Source organism: Homo sapiens, chromosome 16 (genome assembly GCF_000001405.40).
Source record: "Homo sapiens chromosome 16, GRCh38.p14 Primary Assembly".
NCBI classification, from domain to species: domain Eukaryota; kingdom Metazoa; phylum Chordata; class Mammalia; order Primates; family Hominidae; genus Homo; species Homo sapiens.
In genome coordinates this window covers 89921288-89944415 of record NC_000016.10, presented here as the reverse complement: position 1 = coordinate 89944415, position 23128 = coordinate 89921288, and the positions used below count along the sequence as shown (strand labels likewise).

Here is a 23128-nt window from a genome sequence, read left to right as displayed (position 1 = left end):
ATCCACCTTCCTCGGCCTCCCAAAGTGCTGGGATTACAGGCATGAGCCACCGCACCCAACCCCTTATTTTTGTATTTTTAGTAGAGATGGAATTTTCTCTTGGTGCCCAGGCTGGTCTCAAACCCCTGAGCTCAGGCAATCCACCAGCTTCAACTTCCCAACGTGCTGGGATTACAGGCATGAGCCACCACGCTTCGTCTCTTAACAGCTTTGTTGAGATATAATCAACATACAATAAACCGCACATGTTTAAGGGTAGAACTGGATAGATTTTGACACATGTATACACCTGAGAAACTATGACCATGAGCAGAGATGTGATGAGCACCAAGAAGGAAGCAGACAGTAACCCTATCCTCCATCAACAGATGAATGGATAAAGAAAATGTGGTACTTTACACAACGGAGTACCATTCAGCCGTAAAAAAGAATGAGATCCTGTCATTTGCAACAACGTGGATGGAACTGGAAGTCATTATGTTAAGTGAAATAAGCCAGGCACAGAAAGACGAACTTTGCATGTTTTCATTTATTTGTGGAGGCTAAAAGAAAATTAAAACAATTGGCCGGGGCCGGGCGCAGTGGCTCACGCCTGTAATCCCAGCACTTTGGGAGGCCGAGGCTGGTGGATCGAGACTATCCTGGTTAACACGGTGAAACCCCATCTCTACTAAAAATACAAAAAATTAGCTGGGCATGGTGGCGGGCACCTGTAGTCCCAGCTACACGGGAGGCTGAGGCAGGAGAATGGCGTGAACCCGGGAGGCGGAGGTTGCAGTGAGCCGAGATGGCGCCACTGCTCTCCACCTAACCTGGGAGAAATAGCAAGAGTCCTTCTCAAAAAAAAAAAAAAAAAAATTGGCTGGGCGTGGTGGCTCACGCCTGTAATTCCAGTATTTTGGGAGGCCAAGGCGGGGGGATCACGAGGTCAGGAGTTCAAGACCAGCTTGGCCAACATAGTGAAACCCTGTCTCTACTAAAAATACAAAAATTAGCCAGGTACTCAGGGGGCTGAGGCAGGAGAATTGCTTGAACCTGGGAGACAGAGGTTGCAGTGAGCCGAGATCATGCCACTGCACTCCAGCCTGGGCGACAGAGTAAGACTCCATCTAAAACAAAAAAAAAAAAAAAAAGAAAATTAAAACAATTAAACTCATGGGCATAGAGTTAAACTCATGGATAGTTTCCCGAGGCTGGGAAAGGTGGAGGGAGATGTGGGGATGGTTAATGAATGCAAAAATATAGTTAGATAGAATGAATAAAATCTAATAGTTGGTAGTACAACAGAGTGACTATAGTCTACAATAGTTTATTATATATTTTTAAATAACTAAAGAAGTATAACTGGACCGTAATACAAAGAAAGGCTAAATGTTTGAGGTGATGGATACCTCATTTAACCAGATGTGATTATTACACACTGCATGCCTGTATCAAAATATCTCATGTACTCCATAAATGTATCCACAAAAGTGAAAAAGAATAAATAAATCACAATTCGTAAAAAAGAATAAAAAGCTATCCATTATCCTCAAATATTTCCTGTGCCCTTTGCAACCTGCTGCAACCCAGCTCTGTCCCCAGACACCACCGAGCTGCTTTCTGTCAATAAGGTGCATTTCTCTAATTGTATACAGGTGGAATCACATCGTATGTAGGCCTTTTTCATCTATAGCTTTTTTCACTAAAAATACTTATTCTGAGACATATCTATGTGGCAGCACATGTCTGTGGGTTACCCCTCTTATTCCTGAGTATGCATGGATGACCACACTGTCTATCCATCCACCTGTTGATGAACGTCTGGGCTGTTTCCAGTGTTTGCTATTATGAATAAAGCTACTATAAACATTTGCGTGTGCATCACTGTGTGGAGATAATGCTTTCATTCTCCGGGACAATATTTAGCAACCGAACGGCTGGGTTACGTGCAGTGTTTTTACTCCCTAGGACGCATGAAGCTTTCTCCCATGGCGGTTGTGCCTTTCCATGTTCCTGCTGGGAGGTGTGAGTGCTCCGGCGGTACCTCAGTGTCCACACCAGCACTTGGTGTGGTCGGTCTCTCCATTGAAGGATTGTGAGCAGAGAAGTGGTATAATTTTGTTTTCAAAAGATCCCTCTGGGCCGGGCGCAGTGGCTCACACCTGTAATCCCACACTTTGGGGGGCCGAAGTGGGCGGATCACGAGGGCAGGAGTTCGAGACCACCCTGACCAACATGGTGAAACCTCATCTCTACTAAAAATACAAAAATTATCTGGGTGTGGTGGAGCATGCCTGTAATCCCAGCTACTCAGGAGGCTGAGGCAGGAGAATCGCTTCAACACGGGAGGCGGAGGTTGCAGTGAGCTGAGATCGCTGCACTTCAGCCTGGGAGACAACAGCAAGACTCTGTCTCAAAAAAAAAAAAAAAAAAGACACATTGGGATAGACAGGAAAGAACAAATTTAGATACACTGTCACATATCTTTGTAGTGATTTCCTGGTCCTGAGACAAGATCAGTTCCGTTAAACAGCTATTTCCCATAACAGGAGGTTGCAGATGGGCTAAACTTATGTATATGAGGAAGGTGAACAGATTTTTAATAAGAGGTATTTCTATGAAAACAGAAGAAAAACGAAGTTTATTGTTGGACACGATCTATCCAGATGTTAGACTCAAAGCATCTTTAGTTACAGAGCAGGAAGCCCCTGGCAGTCTGACACAATGTTCTCACCTGTGTTACAAAGAATAACCTCAACTTTCTGGGCCTCGGGAAAAAGTTAGTAGCAATTTCATTGAGTCCAGGTCAGAAAAACAAAAGACAAATTTGAAAGTATTAGTGTGGGCCCGGCGGGGTGGCTCAGGCCTGTAATCCCAGCACTTTGGGAGGCCGAGGCGGGCGGATCACAAGGTCAGGAGATTGAGACCATCCTGGCTAACACGGTGAAACCCCGTCTCTACTAAAAATACAGAAAATTAGCCGGGCACGGTGGTGGGCGCCTGTAGTCCCAGCTACTCAGGAGGCTGAGGCAGGAGAATGGCGTGAACCCGGGAGGCGGAGCTTGCAGTGAGCCGAGATCGCACCACTGCACTCCAGCCTGGGAGACAGAGCGAGACTCGTCTCAAAATAAATAAATAAATTAAATTAAATAAAAATACAAATACAAAAACTAGCCGGGTGTGGTGGCAGGTGCCTGTAATTCCAGCTACTTAGGAGGCTGAGGCAGGAGAATCGCTTGAACACGGGAGGTGGAGGTTGCAGTGGACCAGGACCACGCCATTGCACTCCAGCCTGGGCAACAAGAGCAAAACTCCATCTCAAAAAAAAAAAAAAAAAAAAAAAGAGAAGAAAAGAATACGTTAATGGTAAAGCAAACATCCTATATTCTCAATCATAAATGGGAGCTAAGCTATGAGGATGCAAAGGCTTAAGAATGATCCAATAGGCCAGGTATGGTGGCTCACACCTGTAATTCCAGCATTTTGGAAGCCAGCGGGCAGATCACTTGAGATCAGGAATTCAAGACCAGCCTGGCCAACAAGGTGAAACTCCATCTCTACTAAGAAACACAAAAATTAGCCAGGTGTGGTGGTGTGTGCCTGTAATCCCAGCTACCCAGGAGACTGAGGCAGGAGAACTGCTTGAACTCAGGAGGTGGAGGTTGCAATGAGGTGAGATCGTGCCACTGCACTCCAGCCTGGGTGACAGAGGGAGACACTGTTTCAATAATAATAATAACAATAATAATAATGATATGAAGGAGTTTGGGAACTCAGGGGAAAGGGTGGGAGAGGGTTAGGGATAAAGGCTACATATTGGATACAGTGTATACTGCTCAGGTAATGGATGGACCAAAATCTCAGAAAACACCACTAAAGAACTCATTCATGTAACCAAACACCAGCTAAAACCTACTGAAATTTTAAAAATAAATAAATAAATAAAAAAGAATACTCACAGACAGTTTCCAAAATCTGGAGAACTCAGGTAGAGAAAGAAAAATGCACCAAGTTTTGGTCACAGGGGTGTACTTTACTCAACTGCTAAAAGCTGTAAATAGCTCAAAAGAAAAAAGGTTTTCTTGACTCTGAAAAACAAAACAAAAAGAATCAGTAATGTGGCCAGGCACAGTGGCTCACACCTGCAATCCCAGCACTTTGGGAGGCCGAGGCAGGCAGATCACGAGGTCAGGAGTTTGAGACCAGCCTGACCAACATGGTGAACTCCCGTCTCTACTAAAAATACAAAAAAATTAGCTGGGTGTGGTGGCGCATGCCTGTAACCCCAGCTACTCAGGAGGCTGAGGCAGGAGAATCGCTTGAACCCAGGGAACGGAGATTGCAGTGAGCCGAGATCGCGCCACTGCACTCCAGCCTGGGCAACAGAGCGAAACTTCGTCTCAAAACAAAAAAAAAAATGGTGAAACAAGACAACAGTTATCTGTGGATGACAAAAGTCTTAGGACAGCCACAGTTAAGATGAAATCCACAAGAAACCTGGTCATCTCTGTGGCACACAATCATTTTACATAGCAATCACATTTTTTTTTTTTTTGAGACAGAGTCTTACTCTGTCACCCGGGCTGTAGTGCAGTGGCGGGATCTCAGCTCACTGCAACCTCCACCTCCTGGGTTCAAGTGATTCTTCTGCCTCAGCCTCCCGAGTAGTTGGGACTAAAGGCGCCCGCCACCACGCCCAGCTAATTTTTTTGTATTTTTAGTAGTTACGGGGTTTCACCTTGTTAGCCAGGATGGTCTCCATTTCCTGACCTCATGACCTGTCTGCCTTGGCCTCCTGAAGTGCTGGGATTACAGGTGTGAGCCACCACACCTGGCCTGTAAAGGCGGTTTTCTAACAACTGGAGCAGGGGCCGTTTTCTCGGACGAAGGGGCTCACCCAGTAAGGATGAGACCAACACACAGCCCCACCCTGGAACTGCTCCATGTCCAGTCTGTTGTTACATGAAAGACCACAATTCAAGCCATTTTTTCCGGAAATCTTTACCTACCATGAGTCAGGCATTCTTCTAGGTTAAGGGGTCCAACGGGAACAACACAGAAGTCCCTTGTGGAGCTGACCCCGTGGAGGAGACACTTGGGGACTAAATGACACATTAGACCTGGGCCAGGTTCTCACCTTCCACTGGCCCCAGACCCACCTCTCACGCCTCCTGGCCCTCCTCTCTGCCTGGAGGCTGACCTGGACGTCCCCTGACTTCCAGCTGAGCTCAGCAAGAGGCTGGAGGGCGGAGGAGAGAGAAGTCAGGGTGCCTGGAGGCCGGGGGACGGAGGAGAGAGAGGTCAGGGTGTTGGCTCCGGGGCTCCCTCTGCTCTGATGGGGTTCTTACCCTTCAGAGACCTCAGCTCAGCCGGGGTGGCCTCTCCTGTAGCTCCAGTTCTCACCAGGGTCCAGCCCTCCCACCCCTTCACCTTCAGTGCTCCAGGACCCCTTAATTAGGCCCATTCCTGCCATTCGACCCTCTTTGTTGACCCCTCCCCTGAAGGCACAGTCTCCTGAAGTGGGTGCTGAGTGCTGCACAGAAAGCAGCTCTGGGAGGAGAGTTCAGAGCACGGGGGGCCAGGAAGGGTCCCCTAGGGTGATGCCGTCGGATATCTGCAGGGAGGACACTCAAGTGGAGGGCATTCCCCGGGCCCCAATGTTCTAGAACATTAGGGACGTGGTGTGGACGGGGCATATATAACAAGAGGATATGAAGGACAGCGTGGCACGGGAGCAGATGCCAAATTGCATGTGAGGAGCGGCCAGGCAGCTGTGGGAGCCCAGTGAGGAGACAATCGCACGGACGGGACGAGGAAGACCCGAGGCAGCAGCAGACATGAGGGGTGCTGGGCTGTGGGCGTGTTCTGAAGGTGCAGCTGGCCAGATTTGCTGTCAAAGCAGATGTGGACCTGAGGGGAAGAAAAGCCCCTGGTTGTGGGCGGCAAGCCATCCAGGTGCCGAGGCAAGAGACCGAGGGCACGAGCTGTTCCAGTATAATAAAATATATAAAACAACAGGAGTTATACTAGATATAGATCATAGACATGATTATATATGAATATCATTAATCATTAGTTATCCGGAGGCCTTACCATCTCCCTGTGATGCTGTGCTTCAGTGGTCACGCTCCTAGTCCACCTTCATGTTCCATCCTGTACACCTGGCTCTGCCTTCCAGATAGCAGTAGCAAATTAGTGAAAGTATAAAAGTCTCTTGATATGCAGAAATAATGGTGTAAGCTGTCTCTCTCTCTCCCTCTCTCTCTCTGCCTTGGCTGCCAGGCAGGGAAGGGCCCCCTGTCCAGTGGACACGTGACCCACGTGACCTCACCTGTCATTGGAGATGACTCACACTCTTTACCCTGCCCCTTTTGCTCTGTATCCAGTAAATAACAGCGCAGCCAGACATTCGGGGCCACTACCGGTCTCCGCGTCTTGCTGGTGGTGGTCCCCCGGGCCCAGCTGCCTTTTCTTTTATCTCTTTGTCTTGTGTCTTTATTTCTACACTCTGTCATCGCCGCACACAGGGAGAGACCCACCGACCCTATGGGGCTGGACCCTATACCTGGTGACCCCGGCTGTTTGCCCTGAGCACCTGGGGTGTCGTGGTTGGCATCACCAACCTGAGGGATGTGGAGAAGCAGGGCTGGGGGTCAGGAGCTCAGCTCCGCATGTGTGGAGTTGCAGGTGCAAGCCAGGCTGTGTTCAGGCAGCCTCCCAGGAACCACACCCCAGAGTCCGCACCACAGGGCTTTTCCCTCCCTGCCTGCATCTGCACTGGCTCTGGTCTTGCTTGAACCCACTGAATATGGGACAGTGATGCCAGGCCTGTGATTGACATGGGTCTGGCACACTTAAGAATCAGTGACGGTGGCTCACGCCTGTAATCCCAGCACTTTGGGAGGCCAAGGTGGGCGGATCCTGAGGTCAGGAGATGGAGACCATCCTGGCTAACATGGTGAAACCCCATCTCTACTAAAAATACAAAAAATTAGCCGGGCATGGTGGCGGGCGCCCGTAGTCCCTGCTACTCAGGAGGCTGAGGCAGGAGAATGGCGTGAACCCGGGAGGCGGAGCTTGCAGTGAGCTGAGATTGCGCCACTGCACTCCAGCCTAGGCGACAGAGCGAGACTCTGTCACAAAGAAAAAAAGAACCGGTGCCATGTAAGACGTGGTTCCAGCCTCCGCCCCACCATGCGAGGGGTCGGCCAGGCAGCCGTGCGGAGGACAACCCCAAGAGTGAGATGTCAGAGCTTGCAGCTGGCCCCTCCCAACATTGTGAGGAGCAGAAGGATCCAGCTAACACGCTGTGTCTAGAGAAAGGATCCCGTGCTGTTTCAGGTAGATTTGGGGTGATTTGTTACACAGCAGCAGCCGGCGGAGGAGACACATCCCCGGCCCCATCCATGTTGGGGGTGTCAGGGCCAGAACTCGAGATGGCGGCCTCTGGGGCCTGCAGCCCTCGCATCTGAAGCTGGGGCCCGCAGTGCACACGGCCTGTCTTCTTCTGCGCCCATTGCCAGGTTGAAGGGTGATTCAAGAAGAAGGGGCCGCTCTCAGGGTACCACTGGGCAGAACCTGGGAGACTGAGGCTGCTGATGCCCCTCAGCTCCAAGGGGCGGGGTGGCAGGGAGGCGACTGTGGAGGGCTGGGCAGTCGGCCTCTCTGGGCTCCAGGCTCTGTCCCTGTAGGAGGATGTGGGGAACCAGGTGAGCGGCTCCTCAGGCCATGCCCTGTGTGGCTGGACACCAAGTATCATGCACCCCAGGAAGGGGCTGCCGGGGGCGGGAGGACTGATACGTCCCTCCCGGCAGCCCAGGCCTGCGTCCTGTGGCCGCATCTCCCTGACCTCAGCAGCCCCTCCCAGGGCCCAGCCCCGAGACACTAAACACACCGTCTTTTTCAGGGAGCACTCGGGGCCCCCTTCCCTACCTCCCTGGTTGTGACCCGAGGCTTCAGGTCTGATGGCAGTTTCCACCGCAGGAGGGACCACCTGCCCCAACTTTCAGCCTACAGACAGGTGGGAGAAAAGTCTGGGGTGCAAGCCGCTCTGTGGGAGGCCAGGGAACGAGTGTGGGGTTATTTCCAAGTCGGGAGGGCTGCATCTTGAGGTCTGGAATGAGGTACTTCCCGTTCCTTCTCCCGGGCTTCCCGTTTCCGGGGTCTCCCCACGGGCTGTGCCTTGAGACACATTCCGGCCCCCAGCGCAGGCCTCTCTCAGCCGCCAGCCTGGGAGAGGATGAGCTCTTCTTGCCTGTCCACCCGGGCCTCCCTGTCAGCCCCTCCACCTACTGGACACAACTTTCCAGAATAAAAGGACATCTCTGGCACCAAGCAAGGGTATCTGACAGCAATAGATTTATTAAGTATCCCCGAAAATATAAACACAAACCAGTAAAAAACAAAACCGTAAAACGTCAGGCCTGGAGCTGCAATAAGACAGAGACAGGAGCAGCTCACACGTGGCCTAGGTGGGGAGGACGAGGCCATAAATACTGCAGGAGGGCGGCAAGGGAGCCCTAGGGCGAGGGGAAAGCAGGGTGTCGGCAGCAAGATGGCTCCGGGGGTTTAGACACTGCTGGCTTCGGCCCCGGCCGCCACCTGCCTCTCACTCCAGCTGCGAGCAGCTTCACTTGGGGCCCTGGGCCTCCGACTCCTCCTCGTCGTCTTCGTACATCTCGCCCTCTTCCTCGGCCGTGGCGTCCTGGTACTGCTGGTACTCGGACACCAGGTCGTTCATGTTGCTCTCGGCCTCGGTGAACTCCATCTCGTCCATGCCCTCGCCCGTGTACCAGTGCAGGAAGGCCTTGCGCCGGAACATGGCCGTGAACTGCTCGGAGATGCGCTTGAACAGCTCCTGGATGGCCGTGCTGTTCCCGATGAAGGTGGAGGACATCTTGAGGCCGCGGGGCGGGATGTCACACACGGCCACCTTCACGTTGTTGGGGATCCACTCCACGAAGTAGCTGCTGTTCTTGCTCTGGATGGCCAGCATCTGCTCGTCCACCTCCTTCATGGACATGCGGCCCCGGAACACGGTGGCCACCGTCAGGTAGCGGCCGTGGCGCGGGTCGCAGGCGGCCATCATGTTCTTGGCATCGAACATCTGCTGGGTGAGCTCGGGCACGGTCAGGGCCCGGTACTGCTGGCTGCCCCGGGCTGTGAGGGGGGCGAAGCCGGGCATGAAGAAGTGCAGGCGCGGGAAGGGCACCATGTTGACGGCCAGCTTGCGCAGGTCAGCGTTGAGCTGGCCCGGGAAGCGCAAGGAGGTGGTGACTCCGCTCATGGTGGCCGATACCAGGTGGTTGAGGTCCCCGTAGGTGGGCGTGGCCAGCTTGAGGGTGCGGAAGCAGATGTCGTAGAGCGCCTCGTTGTCGATGCAGTAGGTCTCATCCGTGTTCTCCACCAGCTGGTGGATGGACAGCGTGGCGTTGTAGGGCTCCACCACCGTGTCTGACACCTTGGGTGAGGGCACGACGCTGAAGGTGTTCATGATGCGGTCGGGATACTCCTCACGCACCTTGCTGATGAGCAACGTGCCCATGCCGGAGCCCGTGCCGCCCCCCAGCGAGTGGGTCAGCTGGAAGCCCTGCAGGCAGTCGCAGTTTTCACACTCCTTCCGCACCACATCCAGGACCGAATCCACCAGCTCCGCCCCCTCCGTGTAGTGACCCTTGGCCCAGTTGTTGCCGGCCCCACTCTGACCTGTACAGGGAGAAGAGGGGTAAGAGACAGGGGCCAGGGACTCTGCAGTCCAGACCTCCAGCCCCTGCCTGAACATCCCAAGGGCAGCCGTGGCAGCCCCATGCCTGTTCTGTCTTCTGTAAAGTAGGCCCCACTGAGCACCCCTTCTCATACCCGCCGTGGCTTCCCTGAGCCGATGCTGCTGAGTGCTCAGGACGAGGGCTCTGGACAGAGTCTTGAGAACTTGGGGTCACAGCAGAGCGAGGCTCTGCCTCCTGAGGGGATCCTGGGTGAATGGATCAGCCCTCCTGCTCCAGCATACCTTCCTTCCGACTGGCAGTGCCAGGAGCCCAAACAGCCACCCCAGAATCCCTGGCAGCTGGGGGCTGGATGCGAGTTGGCATCTACCAGCTGGATGTGCTGCGGTCGGGAAGGCAGAAGTGAAGCGAGGCCCTCCTGTTTCTGTGGCGCGTCCACGGCCCCGCCCCAGGACACAGACATGGGAACGTGGCATCCACGGCCCCGCCCCAGGACACAGGCATGGGAACGTGGCATCCACGGCCCCGCCCCAGGACACAGGCATGGGAACGTGGCATCCACGGCCCCGCCCCAGGACACAGGCGTGGGAACGTGGCATCCACGGCCCCGCCCCAGGACACAGGCGTGGGAACGTGGCATCCACGGCCCCGCCCCAGGACACAGACGTGGGAACGTGGCATCCACGGCCCCGCCCCAGGACACAGACGTGGGAACGTGGCATCCACGGCCCCGCCCCAGGACACAGACATGGGAACGTGGCATCCACGGCCCAACCCCAGGACACAGGCATGGGAACGTCCTGATCTCTTGACCGCAGCAAGGCCTCGTGCTCCTGGACCCCGGAGTCCTCTGGAGGCCCCGTTCTGTCTCACCAGCTCTCTAGCAATTCTGTAAGCTTCTGTCTGCTTTACACTTCATTCCACTTGAAATGCATGAGTGGTTTCTGTTCTCCCCACAGAACCCTTTCTCTGGGCCTCCAATGCCCAGCTGTAAAATGGAGAGATGAGTTCCCACCATTCAGGATCATGTGAGGAGCTGACCATTCCTTGTTTCTCACAGCCGTCCCCGTCCACCGACCTGGGCTTGCCTGTGATGGGGTCTGCCATCAGAGCTTGGAGCAGGGGGAACTTACCAAAGATGAAATTGTCAGGCCTGAAGAGATGTCCAAAGGCCCCTGAGCGGACACTGTCCATGGTTCCGGGTTCCAGGTCCACCAGAATGGCTCGAGGCACGTACTTGTGAGCTGAGGGGAGAGAGGGGCTCGGTGATTCGGGTCACAGAGGGCCAGAGCCTCTCCCTCATTCTTTCTGAATTCTGTGCCCGCCTGCCATCCTCCTGCTCACATCCTAAGAGCCTGTACTCTGAAGTCAGAGTCCTGGACCAAAGGCAAGCTTCAGCAACTTTCTTCACCCTTAAGCCTCACTGTGTTTAAGGACGGAGCAGGACAGGACGGAGCAGGACAGGCAGGATTCAGTCAGACGTCCACCAGATGCAGGGGCTCGTGTCTGCACTCCCAACACTTTGGGAGGCCAAGGCAGGTGGATCGCTTGAGTCCAGGAGTTCGAGACCAGCCTGGGCAACATATCGAGACTGTCTCTATTAAATTAAATAAAATTTTAAATCACATGTCCATGTGGGCAGGTGGGTGTATCACCACTTTGATATGGAAATCACTTCACACCAGTTGCTAAAGAGCCCCTGACTAAGCCCTCCAGGTGACCCCTTCTCTAGGCCCTCTTATGGCCTCCAAAGTCTCTGGCCTGCCCCATCCCTGTCTGTGCCCCTGGACACGCACAGGCCCTCATGGCACTAATATGTTTGGCTCTCACTTTTGTGACTGTGATTTATTGTCTGTTCTGTGCGTCTGGATGCCTGACATCCAGTTACGCCTGCTGGCATCTCAGCCAACCTAACCCATGGGAGGACAGAGATGCTGAGAGCTGGTGAGTCCAGGTGCTGAGACCTGGTCAGTCAGACGCTGAGACCTGGTCAGTCCAGGGCTGGGATAGGGAGGCTGGGGCAGGCACTCACAAGAGGCCTCGTTGTAGTAGACGCTGATCCGCTCCAGCTGCAAGTCCGAGTCGCCCACGTAGTTGCCGCTGGGGTCGATGCCATGCTCATCACTGATGACTTCCCAGAACTGCAAACAAAGTGGGAGAGGGGGGGTCGGCACCGGCCCATAGCCCCAGCCAGGCCCTTTCCCTTGTGAAGCCTTTTAGCCCTCACTACAAAATTAGGGCTTTTGACCCACGGCCTCCACGAGCCCCATTCAGAAGAGAGCCCCACACTCTGTTACCTGTCAGAAAATTGCCATAATAAATATGCACCTCCACACCTACACGTCCAGGCCGACCACAGCCCCAGGGTGGGCCAAGGTTCAACAGACCCACACCCAGGTCCCCAGGCCCAGCTGTGCAGCTGCTGGCAAGGGCCTGGAGCAGCGGATTCCTCCATGAAGGGCATTGGTAATAAACACCTTGAGGGTTAGTTTTTACTATCCCCTCTTTTCAGGAAAGGGAACTGAGACACAGAGCGGGTAGAGACACCCACAGTAGCTGGCAGAGCAGGGTTCAGAGGCCCAGAGCTCAGGATCGCTTTTGGCTGCTACACCTGCCCCTCCATGGGAGAGCAAACCATGTCCAGTGATGGTGCCAGGACATTACTGGCCTCAGCTGACGGGACTCACAGGGACTCTGAGAGCCAGTCTCATCGGGGACCCCCAGCTGGGTCTGCAGAAGGGTCCTTGGGGTCCCAAATGGGAAGCGACTTGCCTGAGGTCACCCAGCCTGTCCGTGTGAGGCTGGCATCGTCTCAGCTCCCAGGGGTCGTCCTCTCTCTACCTGCCACCTCCACCTCTCTCCCCCTAGAGCAGGTGCCTGCAGTGCTTCTCGGACTCTGCTCCCATGACAGCTGCCGAGCGGAGCCTAGACTCAGGGGCTGGGCCTGCTGGGTTCACAGACGCTTCCCTCACCCTTCCCAGCTGTGTGACCTTGCACAGGTCACTAGGATTCCGTGTCTCAGTGTCCTCATCTGTACAATGGGCACGATGACAGGAGGTCTTTTTGAAATGAAAGTGGGTTAATCTGTGTGAGGCATATAAATGGTATATGGCAAACGTAGAACTATCTATCTGTGTGCACACGGAGAACCACACCCCTGGGTGAGAGCAAGCCCTTCAGGGAAGTTGCCACCTCATCGTGGGACACGCTCTGATGGCCGAGGCCGCTGCGTCTGGGAGCAGTGTCTGCAGGCAGCAGGCCTCCTGGGACACACGCTGGGAGGCTTCCCAGGGCTGCCTGACCTCTCCCAATGCCCCTTGCCCTTACTCCTCAGGAGTGACTTTTAGATGAGCTGACGGGTATGAAGGCCTCAAGAAACAAGGGGCTCTACATGTGAGTCATGTGCTGCAGAAGATTCCTCAAGAAAAAAGCAGGTTAGAAAACAATTTGGTGGGGCCGGGCACAGTGGCTCATGACTGTAATCCCAGCACTTTGGGAGGCTGACGTGGGAGGACCCCAGGAGTGTAGACAAAGATGCGCTTTGGAATGGAGACACAGGAGATGTGTTTTAAGATGCCTCTAGTAGGCCAGGTACAGTGGCTCATGCCTGTAATCCCAACACTTTGGGAGGCCGAGGCGGGTGGATCACGAAGTCAGGAGATCGAGACCATCCTGGCTAACATGGTGAAACCCCGTCTCTACTAAAGATACAAAAAATTAGCCGGGAATGGTGGCGGGTGCCTGTAGTCCCAGCTACTCGGGAGGCTGAAGCAGGAGAATCACTTGAACCCAGGAGGTGGAGCTTGCAGTGAGCTGAGATCATGCCATTGCACTCCAGCCTGGGCGACAGAGTGAGACACCATCTCAAAAAAAAAAAAAAGATGCCTCTCGTAAAGGGGTGACTTTAGTGGAAACTGCTGTGCAGGAGGCAGGACTGGGTGGTAGCAAGCATGAGAAGCATGAGTCTAGGAATTCATATCAAGACCCCATCTCAAAATAAATAAATAAATAGAGGCCAGGTGCGGTGGCTCACGCCTGTAATACCAACAATTTGGGAGGCTGAGGTGGGCAGATCACCGGAAGTCAGGAGTTCGAGACCAGCCTGTCTCTACTAAAAATACAAAAATTAGCCAGGGGTGGTGGCTCACACGTTCCAGCTACTCCGGAAGCTGAGGCAGAAGAATTGCTTGAACCCAGGAGACGGAGGTTGCAGTAAGCCAAGATTGCACCACTGTACTCCAGCGTGGGCGACAGAGTGAGACTCTGTCTCATAGAATAATAATAAATAAATAGAAACAAAACCACTCATAGCTGGGCACGGTGGCTCACCCCCATAATCCCTGCACTTTGGGAGGCAGAGGCGGGTGGGTCACGAGGTCAGGAGTTCGAGACCAGCCTGGCCAACATAGTGAAACTCCATCTCTCCCAAAAATACAAAAATTAGCCAGGCATGGTGGCGCGCACCTGTACTCCCAGCTACTCGAGAGGCTGAGGCAGGAGAATTGCTTGAACCCAGGAGGCAGAGGTTGTGGTGAGTCGAGATCGCGCCACTGCACTCCAGCCTGGGCAATAGTGCGAGACTGTCAGAAAGAAAGGAAGGAAGGAAGGAAGGAAGGAATGAAGGAAGAAAGAAAGGAAAGAGAGAGAGAGAGGAAGGAAGGAAGGAAGGAAGGAAGGAAGGAAGGAAGGAAGGAAGGGGAGAAAACTGCTTGTGCCAGGCACGGTGGCTCACGCCTGTAATCCCAGTACTTTGGGAGGCTGAGGCAGTGGATCATCTGAGGTCAGGAGTTCAAGACCAGCCTGGCCAACATGGCAAAACCCTGTCTCTACTAAAAATACAAAAATTAGCCAGGCGTGGTGGCGAGCACCTGTAATCCCAGCTGCTTGGGAGGCTGAGGCGGAGAATCACACGAACTCGGGAGGTGGAGGTTGCAGTGAGCTTATGTCATGCCACTGCACTCAAGCCTGGGCAACAGAAGGAAACACCGTCTCAAATAAAAGAAAGAAAGAAAACTGCTTGTGGGTGCTTCTCTATGCGTGGGTGCCTCTGGTAGATGTGTGGAAGGCTGTGCCTGGGGAGGGGCCCCAGACTGGGAGGAGCTTCTTCTCACGGGTGCCCTGTGGTCTTGTTGAGATTTTCTCACGTGCACACGGTAGCTTTTCAAAGAAAATTTGTTAAAAATAAATGTTTTTAAAACCTTAAGAATAAACATAGTGTAATTATTGTAACGCGGACAGCATGGACATGGACCACCTCTGCTAACAGTGTCTCGGGATGCCCGTTCACCCTGAGACTGTTATCAGAGGTGCCCGTTCACCCTGAGACTGTTATCAGAGGTCATCTCTCCACAAAGGTCAGGGGTGGATTTCTTTCCATCTTTTGTGCATTTTTGTTATTGCTAAGTTTTATTCTTTTTGCGTTAAATTTTTAAATTACAAAAATGATTCAGGCTGGGTGTGGTGGCTCATGCCTATAATCCCAGCACTTTGGGAGGCTGAGGCAGGCAGATCACTTGAAGTCAGGAGTTCAGGACCAACCTGGACAACAGGGCAAAACCCTGTCCCTACTAAAAATACAAAAATTAGCCGGGCGTGGTAGCGCGCACCTGTAATTTCAGTTGTTTCAGAGTCTGAGACACGAGAATCGCTTGAACCCAGGGGGCAGAGGTTGCAGTGAGCTGAGATCAAGCCACTGCACACCAGCCTGTGGGACAAGAGTGAAACCCTATCTTAAAAAAAAAAAAAAAAAAGGCCGGGCGCGGTGGCTCACGCCTGCAATCCCAGCACTTTGGGAGGCCAAGGCGGGTGGATCACGAGGTCAGTAGTTCGAGACCAGCCTGACCAACATGGTGAAACCCCATCTCTACTAAAAATACAAAAATTAGGCCAGACGCAGTGGCTCACGCCTGTCTGTGGTCCTAGCACTTTGGGAGGCCGAGGTGGGCGGATCATGAGGTCAGGAGATCGAGACCATCCTGGCTGGCACAGTGAAACCCTGTCTCTACTAAAAATACAAAAAATTAGCCAGGCGCGGTGGCGGGCACCTGTAGTCCCAGCTACTTGGGAGGCTGACTCAGGAGAATGGCGTGAACCTGGGAGGCGGAGCTTGCAGTGAACCGAGATTGTGCCACCGTGCTCCAGCCTGGGCAACAGATAGAGACTCCGCCTCAAAAAAAAAAAAAAAAAATTAGCCAGTGTGGTGACGGGTGCCTGTAATCCCAGCTACTCAGGAGGCTAAGGCAGGAGAATTGCTTGAACCCAGGAGGTGGAGGTTGCAGTGAGCCGAGATCACTCCACTGCACTCCAGCCTGAGTGACAGAGTGAGACTCCATCTCAAACAAACAAACAAAAAAATCAGCTGGCCATGGTGGCTCATATTTATAATCCCAGCAGTTTGGGAGGCCAAGAGAGGTGGATCACTTGAGTCCAGGAGTTCAAGACCAGCCTGGGCAACATGGTGAAACCCTGTCTCTACCAAAAAACAAAAAAATTAGTTGGGCATGGTGACGCATGCCTATAGCCCCAGCTACTCAGGAGGCTGAGGTGGGAGGATCACTTGAGCCAGGGGGGTGGAGGTTGCAGTGAGCCTAGATCATGCCAGTCCAGGCGACAGAGTAAGAGCCTGTCTCAAAAAAAAAATACAGAAAGGTCCCTGAGGCATTTGGGGCTTGTCCAAGCTTCCCACCTACTGCTTGCCTCCCTAACACTCTCTTTGAGGATCCCCCATTAATTTAGTTGCTGGCAGTCCACTTGAGTCGGGGACCTTGCTCCCCAAAGCACTGGGACACCCCAAATTTATGGTTCCAGGGAACCCACAACCACCAGCCCCTGTAAAGGAGGGGTGGAGAGAGTAACACATCTATGGGAAGTCCTCTGCAGAGCGAGGCACAGGGCAGCAGGAGCAATGGAGCAGAGTGGATTCAAGACCCAGCACGAGCACAGCTGTGGGCCAGGCGCGTGCCTCGCAGGACCTGTTTTCTCATCTGTGAGATGAACGTGTGAATGGTGCCCACATCCAGGCCTTAGCACAAAGCTTGACATGAAAACATTCAGCACATGTTGGCTTCATTTTGTTCAAATGTTTTAGATACTATTTAAAGTTTTAAAACCATATGCACAGGTCACTTAAAAAAAATGGACCAGAAGGATAGAAAAAGAAATTTGTTCCCACTTGGATAGAGAGAGGTGGCTAGATGGGCACCAGGTTTATCTGCAATATTTAAGGTTTTTTTTAACCAGGAGAATATATTAATTGCTTTTGTAGTTAAAATTAATAAAATTATAATTTGAGATAAAGTAATAAAATATATTGTTCCTTTTTTTTTTTTAGATAGGGTCTTGCTCTATTGCCCAGGCTAGAATGCAGGGGCATGACCTCAGCTCACTTTAACCTCTGCCCACCTCCCCCAGGTGATCCTCCCACCTCTGTCTCCCAAGTAGCTGGGACCACAGGCCGGCGTGCCTCCATGTCCAGCTAATTTTTTTTGTTTTTTATTTTTTGTAGGCACGGAGTCTTGCCATGTTGCCCAGGCTGGCCCTGAAGTGCTGACCTCAGGTGATCCACCCACCTCGGCCTCCCAAAGTGCTGGGATTACAGGTGTGAGCCACCGCACCTGGCCTATGTTACATATTTAATAAACAATAAAATATAATTTTATAAACTAAATTGTTAACATCACTACAGAAAAGGAAATCGGCCCGGCGTGGTGGCTCATGCCTGCAATCCCAGCACTTTGGGAGGCTGAGGCAGGTGAATCACCTGAGGTCAGGAGTTTGAGACCAGCCTGACCAAGATGGAGAAACCCCATCTCTAGTAAAAGTACAAAATAAGCCAGGTGTGGTGGCGGGCGCCTGTAATCCCAGCTACTCAGGAGGCTGAGGCAGGAGAATAGCTTGAACCCAGGAAGTGGAGGTTGCAATGAGCCGAGATCGCGCCACTGCACTCCAGCCTGGGCAACAAGAGCCAAACTCCATCTAAAAGAAAATAAGAAAAAAGGAAAATTGTGGCCAGGCGTGGTGGTGAGCGCCTGCGGTCCCAGCTACTCGGGAGGCCGAGGCTGCAGTGAGCCGAGATCGCGCCTCTGGACGCCAGCCCGGGCGACAGAGCCAGGCCTCCTCTCATAACCAAAAACAAAAACCTGGAAACACAAAGCAGAACCCGGCGTTCGAGGCCAGGCGCTCGGCCCGGGCGCTGTCCTTGGTGCTGACCTCGCGCAGCGCTTGGGGTCCTGGGGAAAGCGGGGCCGGGCTTTGAGGGCAGTGGCCAAGGCAGGTGGGAGCGGGGGTCCCCGATGAAGGGGCTGCGAGACTGGGGCCTCCAAGCCCCTCCAGGACCCGAATGCGGTTCCCGCCCGGCCCGCGGCTCCGCAGGTCTTTCAGGCGAGAGGGCGGGGCGAGCCAGGGACTCCGCCTCCCATTGGCTGAGACGGCCAGGCCCCGCCCCCAGCCCCGCCCCGCAGCCGCGAGGAGGCGGTGCCGCAGCCCGCGCGGAGGACAAAGGCTCCCCCCTCCGCCGCTGCAGGCGAACCCCGCCCCGGGGAGGGAGGAGCACAGGCCCCAGGAAAGCAAAGCCCGGGGGTCCAGATTCAGCTCTGCGGCAGTGGGGCAGCGTCCTGTGTCCCGCGGGCCCCGGTGTTTCTGCATAGCCCGGCCCGCCCCTGCCCCCCCCGGGGTGACTGCAGGCGGCCGCTCGGCTTTCCGGGCTTCGGGTTTTCTCATCCTCCCGGCGGGCTGCGCCCGGCTTACTGCATCCCCGCGAGCTGCCGGGGGCTCGGCTCCCAGCGCAGGGGTGACCGCGGTGAGTCGTCCGCGCTGCCGCGTGACCGCCCGGGACCCGGCTTTGCTCCCGGCCTCGAGTCACCCCGACTTCCCTCTGCCCAGAGTGCACGGGCCTTCCTGCCCAGCCAGGCACCGCCCGAGGACCCCAGACAGGGAAGCAGCCGCGTTGCACCCCCTATCAGCTGCGGGAGTGGAGGCCGAGAACGGCCAAGGAACTTCCCATTGATTCCACAAGGGCAGCAGAGCAAAGGAACACGCTCTTGCCGCCCCCGCCCCCGAGAAAATTTCCTTCTCTGTTGCTTTCATTGTTAAAAAGAATCAGATACTATTATTACTGTGAGACAGGATCTCACTCTATCGCCTAGTCTGGAGTACAGTGGTGCGGTCATAGTTCATTGCAGCCTCGACCTCCCACGCTGAAGCAATGCTCCCATCTCAGCCTCCCAGGTAGCTGGGACTACAGGCGCGGCCCACCACGCCAGGCTAATTTTTTTTTTTTTTTTTTTAAGAAACGGAGTTTCACCATGTTATCCCGGCTGGTCTTGAACTCCTTCGCTAAAGTGATCCTCCAGTTTCAGTCTCCCAAAGTGCTGGGATTACATGAGATTCCTCATCCACCGTGCCCGGCCAGGTATTAATTTTTAAAAAGAAATATATTAAGAAAAAACAAACAACTCAAAAGGAATAAAAAGTAGCGGGCAAACTAAGAGCTCCAGTGTTCAGAAGCAGAGCACAAGGCAGCCAAGGACACGGTCCAGGGGACAAGGGCTCCCTCTGCTACCCGTGGAGCCTCAGGGGATGTCTGCATGTGCACCTGACTTCTAGATCCCAGCTCTTGCCTGACAAGTGCCTTGTGGGACCACAGCTCTGGGCCCATCCCAGCCATAGAAGGAGAAACCCCAGGTGGGCCCCAGGGCTGCCTGCCCTCCCTCTCCCCAGAGACCCCTGACCCTCCCAGGAGCCCCAGGGCTGCCTGCCCTCCCTCCCCCCAGCGACCCCTGACCCTCCCAGGAGCAGATGCTCAGGGGAGGCTTGGCCCCAGTGACCACATTAATGAGCCCTCAGCCCCTCCCATCAGGCCAAGGCAGCTGTCAGAGGCTGCTCCGGGAGTCCTGGTTTGATTTGAGGCCACTGTCCCCCAGGTCTCCCCTCCCCCAGGCTCTCCTTGGCAGGCACAGCTGTCTCCTTGGGTGATTAGAGTCTCCCCACTACTGGGCCTCCCACCCTCAGAGGCGCCTCCACCCGGAGCCAAAGTTGCAATTTACATGTCAGCCACGTGGCTGGCCCTGTTGTAATTAGCTTTTTGTTCCTGCCTGGTTTCCATGGCAACAGCCTCCGGAGGCTGCCTTTCTCTGGCCCCTTCCCCTCCAGGACCGTCTCCTGCACCCCCTCCTTCCCAGAATCAGCGCTGCACCAGCCCTGAGCTGGGTCCCTGGCCTTGGTCCTGACAAAGCCAGCCTCCCCCCCCGATCCCCTGTTCCCCAACACTGTTCGGAGGGCAGATCCTTTGGCAAGCAGCGCCCCCAACCCGCCCCGCCCGAGCCCCAGGTTGGCTCCTGCAGGGGATGAGAACCAAGGGCCAGCCCAGCTCTCTCGCACCTGCTGTGTGACCTTGGGCCAGGGACAGCCTCCCAGGACCAGGGGACACGACGTCCCCTTAATGATTTAGGCAGGGGTCCCTGCACAGCTGCACCAACGCCCCTTTCTGCGTGGCCCCAACATCTGCGAGGTGGGCTAACAATGGAGGGAGGGGCGCGCCACGGTGCAGCCTCCACACCCCACAGCCCGGCTTTGTTCCCACATCCAATCCCCAGACTGGTAGACCCTGGGTGGGCGCGGTCAAGCCCCGCGGGGGTTGCCCAGGAGCGGCTGCGCCGATGGAGAGCCTGGTCCTGGACCAAGGTCATCTCGAGTCCAGGCCCAACCCCTCCAACAAAGGGACAGGGTGGAGCTAGGACGCCGAGGGGTGTCGGAGCAGGCTGGGGAAATCGGGGCGGCTCTAGCCTCTCGGGGGACGTTCGGCTACTCCAGTGGGGGGTTCGGGCCGAGGAAATCACGGCTGTGAGGAGAACCCCCCACCCCACCCAAACCTGCCTACCCCACCCGTCTCACTCAAGGCTATGCCGCGGCCCCAAAAAAGAGGGCCACGCCCAGACAGGGCTCCCAGCTGCACCTGCGGAGGCCCGGTGGAGGGGGTGCAGGTGTGGAGGGGGCGCAGGTGTGGAGGGGGCTGAGGCTTCGCGACTGACGTGAGCTGCGCCTCGACAGCCCGAGGTCACCTGGGCAGGGGCAGAGAGGTGCAGGCGAGAGTCCCAGGGCGGGGGCCCCGCGTCCCGGCCGCCCGGCGCGGCGCTGGGCGCATCCCTTTGTTGCAGGTTCGCAGGGGCGGGGGCAGCTGGAGGTGCGGCCCGCGGGGCACGGCGCCTCCCTCCTCCCGCCCCGGGGCCCGGGACAGGCCGGGGCGCGCAGCCTCACCTTGGCCCCGATCTGGTTGCCGCACTGGCCGGCCTGGATGTGCACGATCTCCCTCATACTGGGCGCGTCTGGCGGGCGGCTGCGGACGGGCGCGGGCGGGCCGGGCTGGCTGCTGAGGGTCGGGGACCGCGGCCGCGCGCTCTTATAGCCGCGGCCCCGCCCTTCGCATCGGCTGATGTCACCGCGGGTGGCCAATCGGGAGGCGCCGCCGCAGAGCCCCGCCCGGCCCGCAGGCTCCGCACCGCGCGTCCCCGCCCGCCGCGCGCAATGCGGCGCCCCTCCCGCAGCCAAGGATCCCCCAGCGCTGGGCCGGGCGCGGTCTGAGGGCCCCGCGCATTCGAAAGGAGGGGCTGTCTCCCAGAGGAGCTGGCTGTGGGGGCGCCGGGCTCCAGGGAGGACAATGGCCCCTCTTGGCCCTGGGAACCCCGCCCCCAGCTACCCTCTCGGTTCCGCCCTTGCGACAGCCCCACCCTGCGGCTTTGTACGGAGGGTCTTTTTTCCCCACGCCGGTTTAGAGACCAACCCGCACCATCCCAGCTCCCTGTCTTTTGGCAGACAAGGTGCTCTGAGCTTTTGCCGGTTTTGGGTGGGGGAGGTAGGTAAAGGCTGGCCCAGGCCCTGAACCCACTGAGAAGAAACAAAGCGTCGGATCAGAGCTCGGAAGGGCGCGAACACAGAGGGGTGGCGGCGGCCGAGAGCGAGCTCCGTGGGTCGCCGGCTTCCGCAGTGGGCGGGGAGGGGGTGGGCACCCGACCTCCTCCACCAAGGGGCTGCCATGAGCGTCCAAAGGAGCTTTGTGGGCCCGGGCGCGCACAGCACCTGGACGTGCCACTGCCCGGTGCGCATCCGTGTCAGGAATTGTCACAAGGACGCACAAGCCAGGCAAGAACCCGGCCAGGGTGGGGGAGGGTGGGCAGCGGCTTCTATCTGACTCACTCTCTGAGGTCGGAGACTGCGTGCAGGGGGGCCTCGGGGGAGCGACTGGAGATGCGTTTACTGGTCAGAGAAGGAAGGGAGCAAAGGACTCGCCGGCACGGCACTGACCTCCTCCTGGGCCAGATATTACAGTGCCACCACCTTAGAACAAGGGCCTTCTGATACTTCAGTAACAAAAATCCTTCAGGAAGGGTCTGACAGTGCACGATGTACAGACGAACCCCACCCGGCCCCCAAATCAGCATTCACTTCACAAAATGAGCAGCTGCGAACTTGCCTGTGGACGCCTGTGTCCGGTCTGTGTGCACAGGGCTGTGTGTGGGTGGCGTGGACCTGTACCTGTCTCTCTCTTTTCTCTCAAGAAGCTCTCCAGTTTGGAAAGTCGAGAAATGGATCTTTTGTTCTCAAGAGATGCCCCTCCCTGCCCCACAGTGTGCTCGTGTGGCTGCTGCTGGGGTCTAGCTGCCTGGGGTTCCTCCCTGTCCCTGTTCAAGGGAGTCCGGGGTGAGTGTCTGAGGTGCCTCCCTGTCTCCACGAGGGAAGAAGTTTTGCAGCCTCAGGGCAGCCAGCTCCTGCTCCATCCTCAGAGGGGTCTGGTGCCGGGCTTAAGGCTGACTCACCGTCCGGTCTCCCAGCAGAGGCGGGCCCTGCCAGGAAGCAGCTCCCAGTTCTGAGGCCGGCAGTCAGGGGTGGGGCTGGCCAGGGGGCTGCTGACTGAGCCTGCGTAGGAGTCGGCTGATGGCCCTGCAGCCTCCATTGAGCCTGTCCCAGGAAGGGGGCTGACTGAGTGCTCAGTCTCTGCAGAGGAAATGGAGGTGGTCTCTTCAGCGAGACGCCCAGGTTTCAGCAGAGGGATGGCCCAGGGGCGCCACTGCTCCCCAGCACCAGGCAGCATAGTTCATCCCCAGGTACTCACTCCCAGGGACTTCTCCGCCGGCTGGGCCTCTGCCTCACTGCCATCTTCAGAAGCCTCACATCAAGCATTTCCCAGGACTGGCTGAACACAGACCCTCCACCCCCGACCCCTTCCCCACCTGCCTACTCCCAGAATGGCAGTGCTGGGCAGACAGCAGACCCAGCCCCCAGCCCACCTGCACTGAGCCCCCTTCCAGGCATCTCAGAGTGGACAGGGATGGTCCCATTCACGGCTCATCATGGCTGGAGGGACTCAGGGCCAGGGCCAGCAAAGGGATGTGTCCCGGCTGAGGTCACATGTGGTCACAGGGAAGGCTGGG

The 23128-nt window shown here is 55.8% G+C and overlaps 1 protein-coding gene across 2 annotated transcripts, besides 9 other annotated features; it reads right to left on the bottom strand.

The window, feature by feature from the left end:
• On the bottom strand, positions 8319 to 22491 carry TUBB3 (tubulin beta 3 class III). Of its 2 annotated transcripts, none has more exons than NM_001197181.2 (4): positions 22171 to 22491; positions 11737 to 11845; positions 10838 to 10948; positions 8319 to 9687 (listed from the first exon to the last, which is right to left on the bottom strand). In NM_001197181.2, the coding sequence occupies exons 3-4, from the start codon at positions 10896 to 10898 to the stop codon at positions 8612 to 8614; spliced, it is 1137 nt and encodes a 378-aa protein (NP_001184110.1). In that variant the 5' UTR covers positions 10899 to 10948; positions 11737 to 11845; positions 22171 to 22491; the 3' UTR covers positions 8319 to 8611. The 2 variants fall into 2 exon arrangements, with proteins under 2 accessions (NP_001184110.1, NP_006077.2); NM_006086.4 differs by lacking the exon at positions 22171 to 22491 and adding an exon at positions 20958 to 21074.
• Positions 17818 to 18477: a silencer, noted in NCBI's record as "silent region_7933". NCBI's record gives its function as "represses an Ori minimal core promoter by ATAC-STARR-seq in GM12878 lymphoblastoid cells {active_cell/tissue: GM12878}" and the evidence as "EXISTENCE:reporter gene assay evidence [ECO:0000049][PMID:35858748]".
• Positions 17818 to 19144: a biological region, named in NCBI's record as "H3K4me1 hESC enhancer GRCh37_chr16:89991680-89992580".
• Positions 18244 to 19144: an enhancer, noted in NCBI's record as "H3K4me1 hESC enhancer chr16:89991680-89992580 (GRCh37/hg19 assembly coordinates)". NCBI's record gives its function as "activates a minimal SCP1, AML or CMV promoter by ChIP-STARR-seq in naive H9 embryonic stem cells {active_cell/tissue: H9 hESC(naive)}" and the evidence as "EXISTENCE:reporter gene assay evidence [ECO:0000049][PMID:30033119]".
• Positions 20818 to 21067: a silencer, noted in NCBI's record as "silent region_7932". NCBI's record gives its function as "represses an Ori minimal core promoter by ATAC-STARR-seq in GM12878 lymphoblastoid cells {active_cell/tissue: GM12878}" and the evidence as "EXISTENCE:reporter gene assay evidence [ECO:0000049][PMID:35858748]".
• Positions 21148 to 21297: a silencer, noted in NCBI's record as "silent region_7931". NCBI's record gives its function as "represses an Ori minimal core promoter by ATAC-STARR-seq in GM12878 lymphoblastoid cells {active_cell/tissue: GM12878}" and the evidence as "EXISTENCE:reporter gene assay evidence [ECO:0000049][PMID:35858748]".
• Positions 21148 to 22361: a biological region, named in NCBI's record as "Sharpr-MPRA regulatory region 7867".
• Positions 21261 to 21555: an enhancer, noted in NCBI's record as "tiled region #7867; K562 Activating non-DNase unmatched - State 1:Tss". NCBI's record gives its function as "activates a minimal TATA promoter and a strong SV40 promoter by Sharpr-MPRA in K562 cells {active_cell/tissue: K562}" and the evidence as "EXISTENCE:reporter gene assay evidence [ECO:0000049][PMID:27701403]".
• Positions 21318 to 21407: a silencer, noted in NCBI's record as "silent region_7930". NCBI's record gives its function as "represses an Ori minimal core promoter by ATAC-STARR-seq in GM12878 lymphoblastoid cells {active_cell/tissue: GM12878}" and the evidence as "EXISTENCE:reporter gene assay evidence [ECO:0000049][PMID:35858748]".
• Positions 21478 to 22361: an enhancer, noted in NCBI's record as "H3K27ac hESC enhancer chr16:89988463-89989346 (GRCh37/hg19 assembly coordinates)". NCBI's record gives its function as "activates a minimal SCP1, AML or CMV promoter by ChIP-STARR-seq in primed H9 embryonic stem cells {active_cell/tissue: H9 hESC(primed)}" and the evidence as "EXISTENCE:reporter gene assay evidence [ECO:0000049][PMID:30033119]".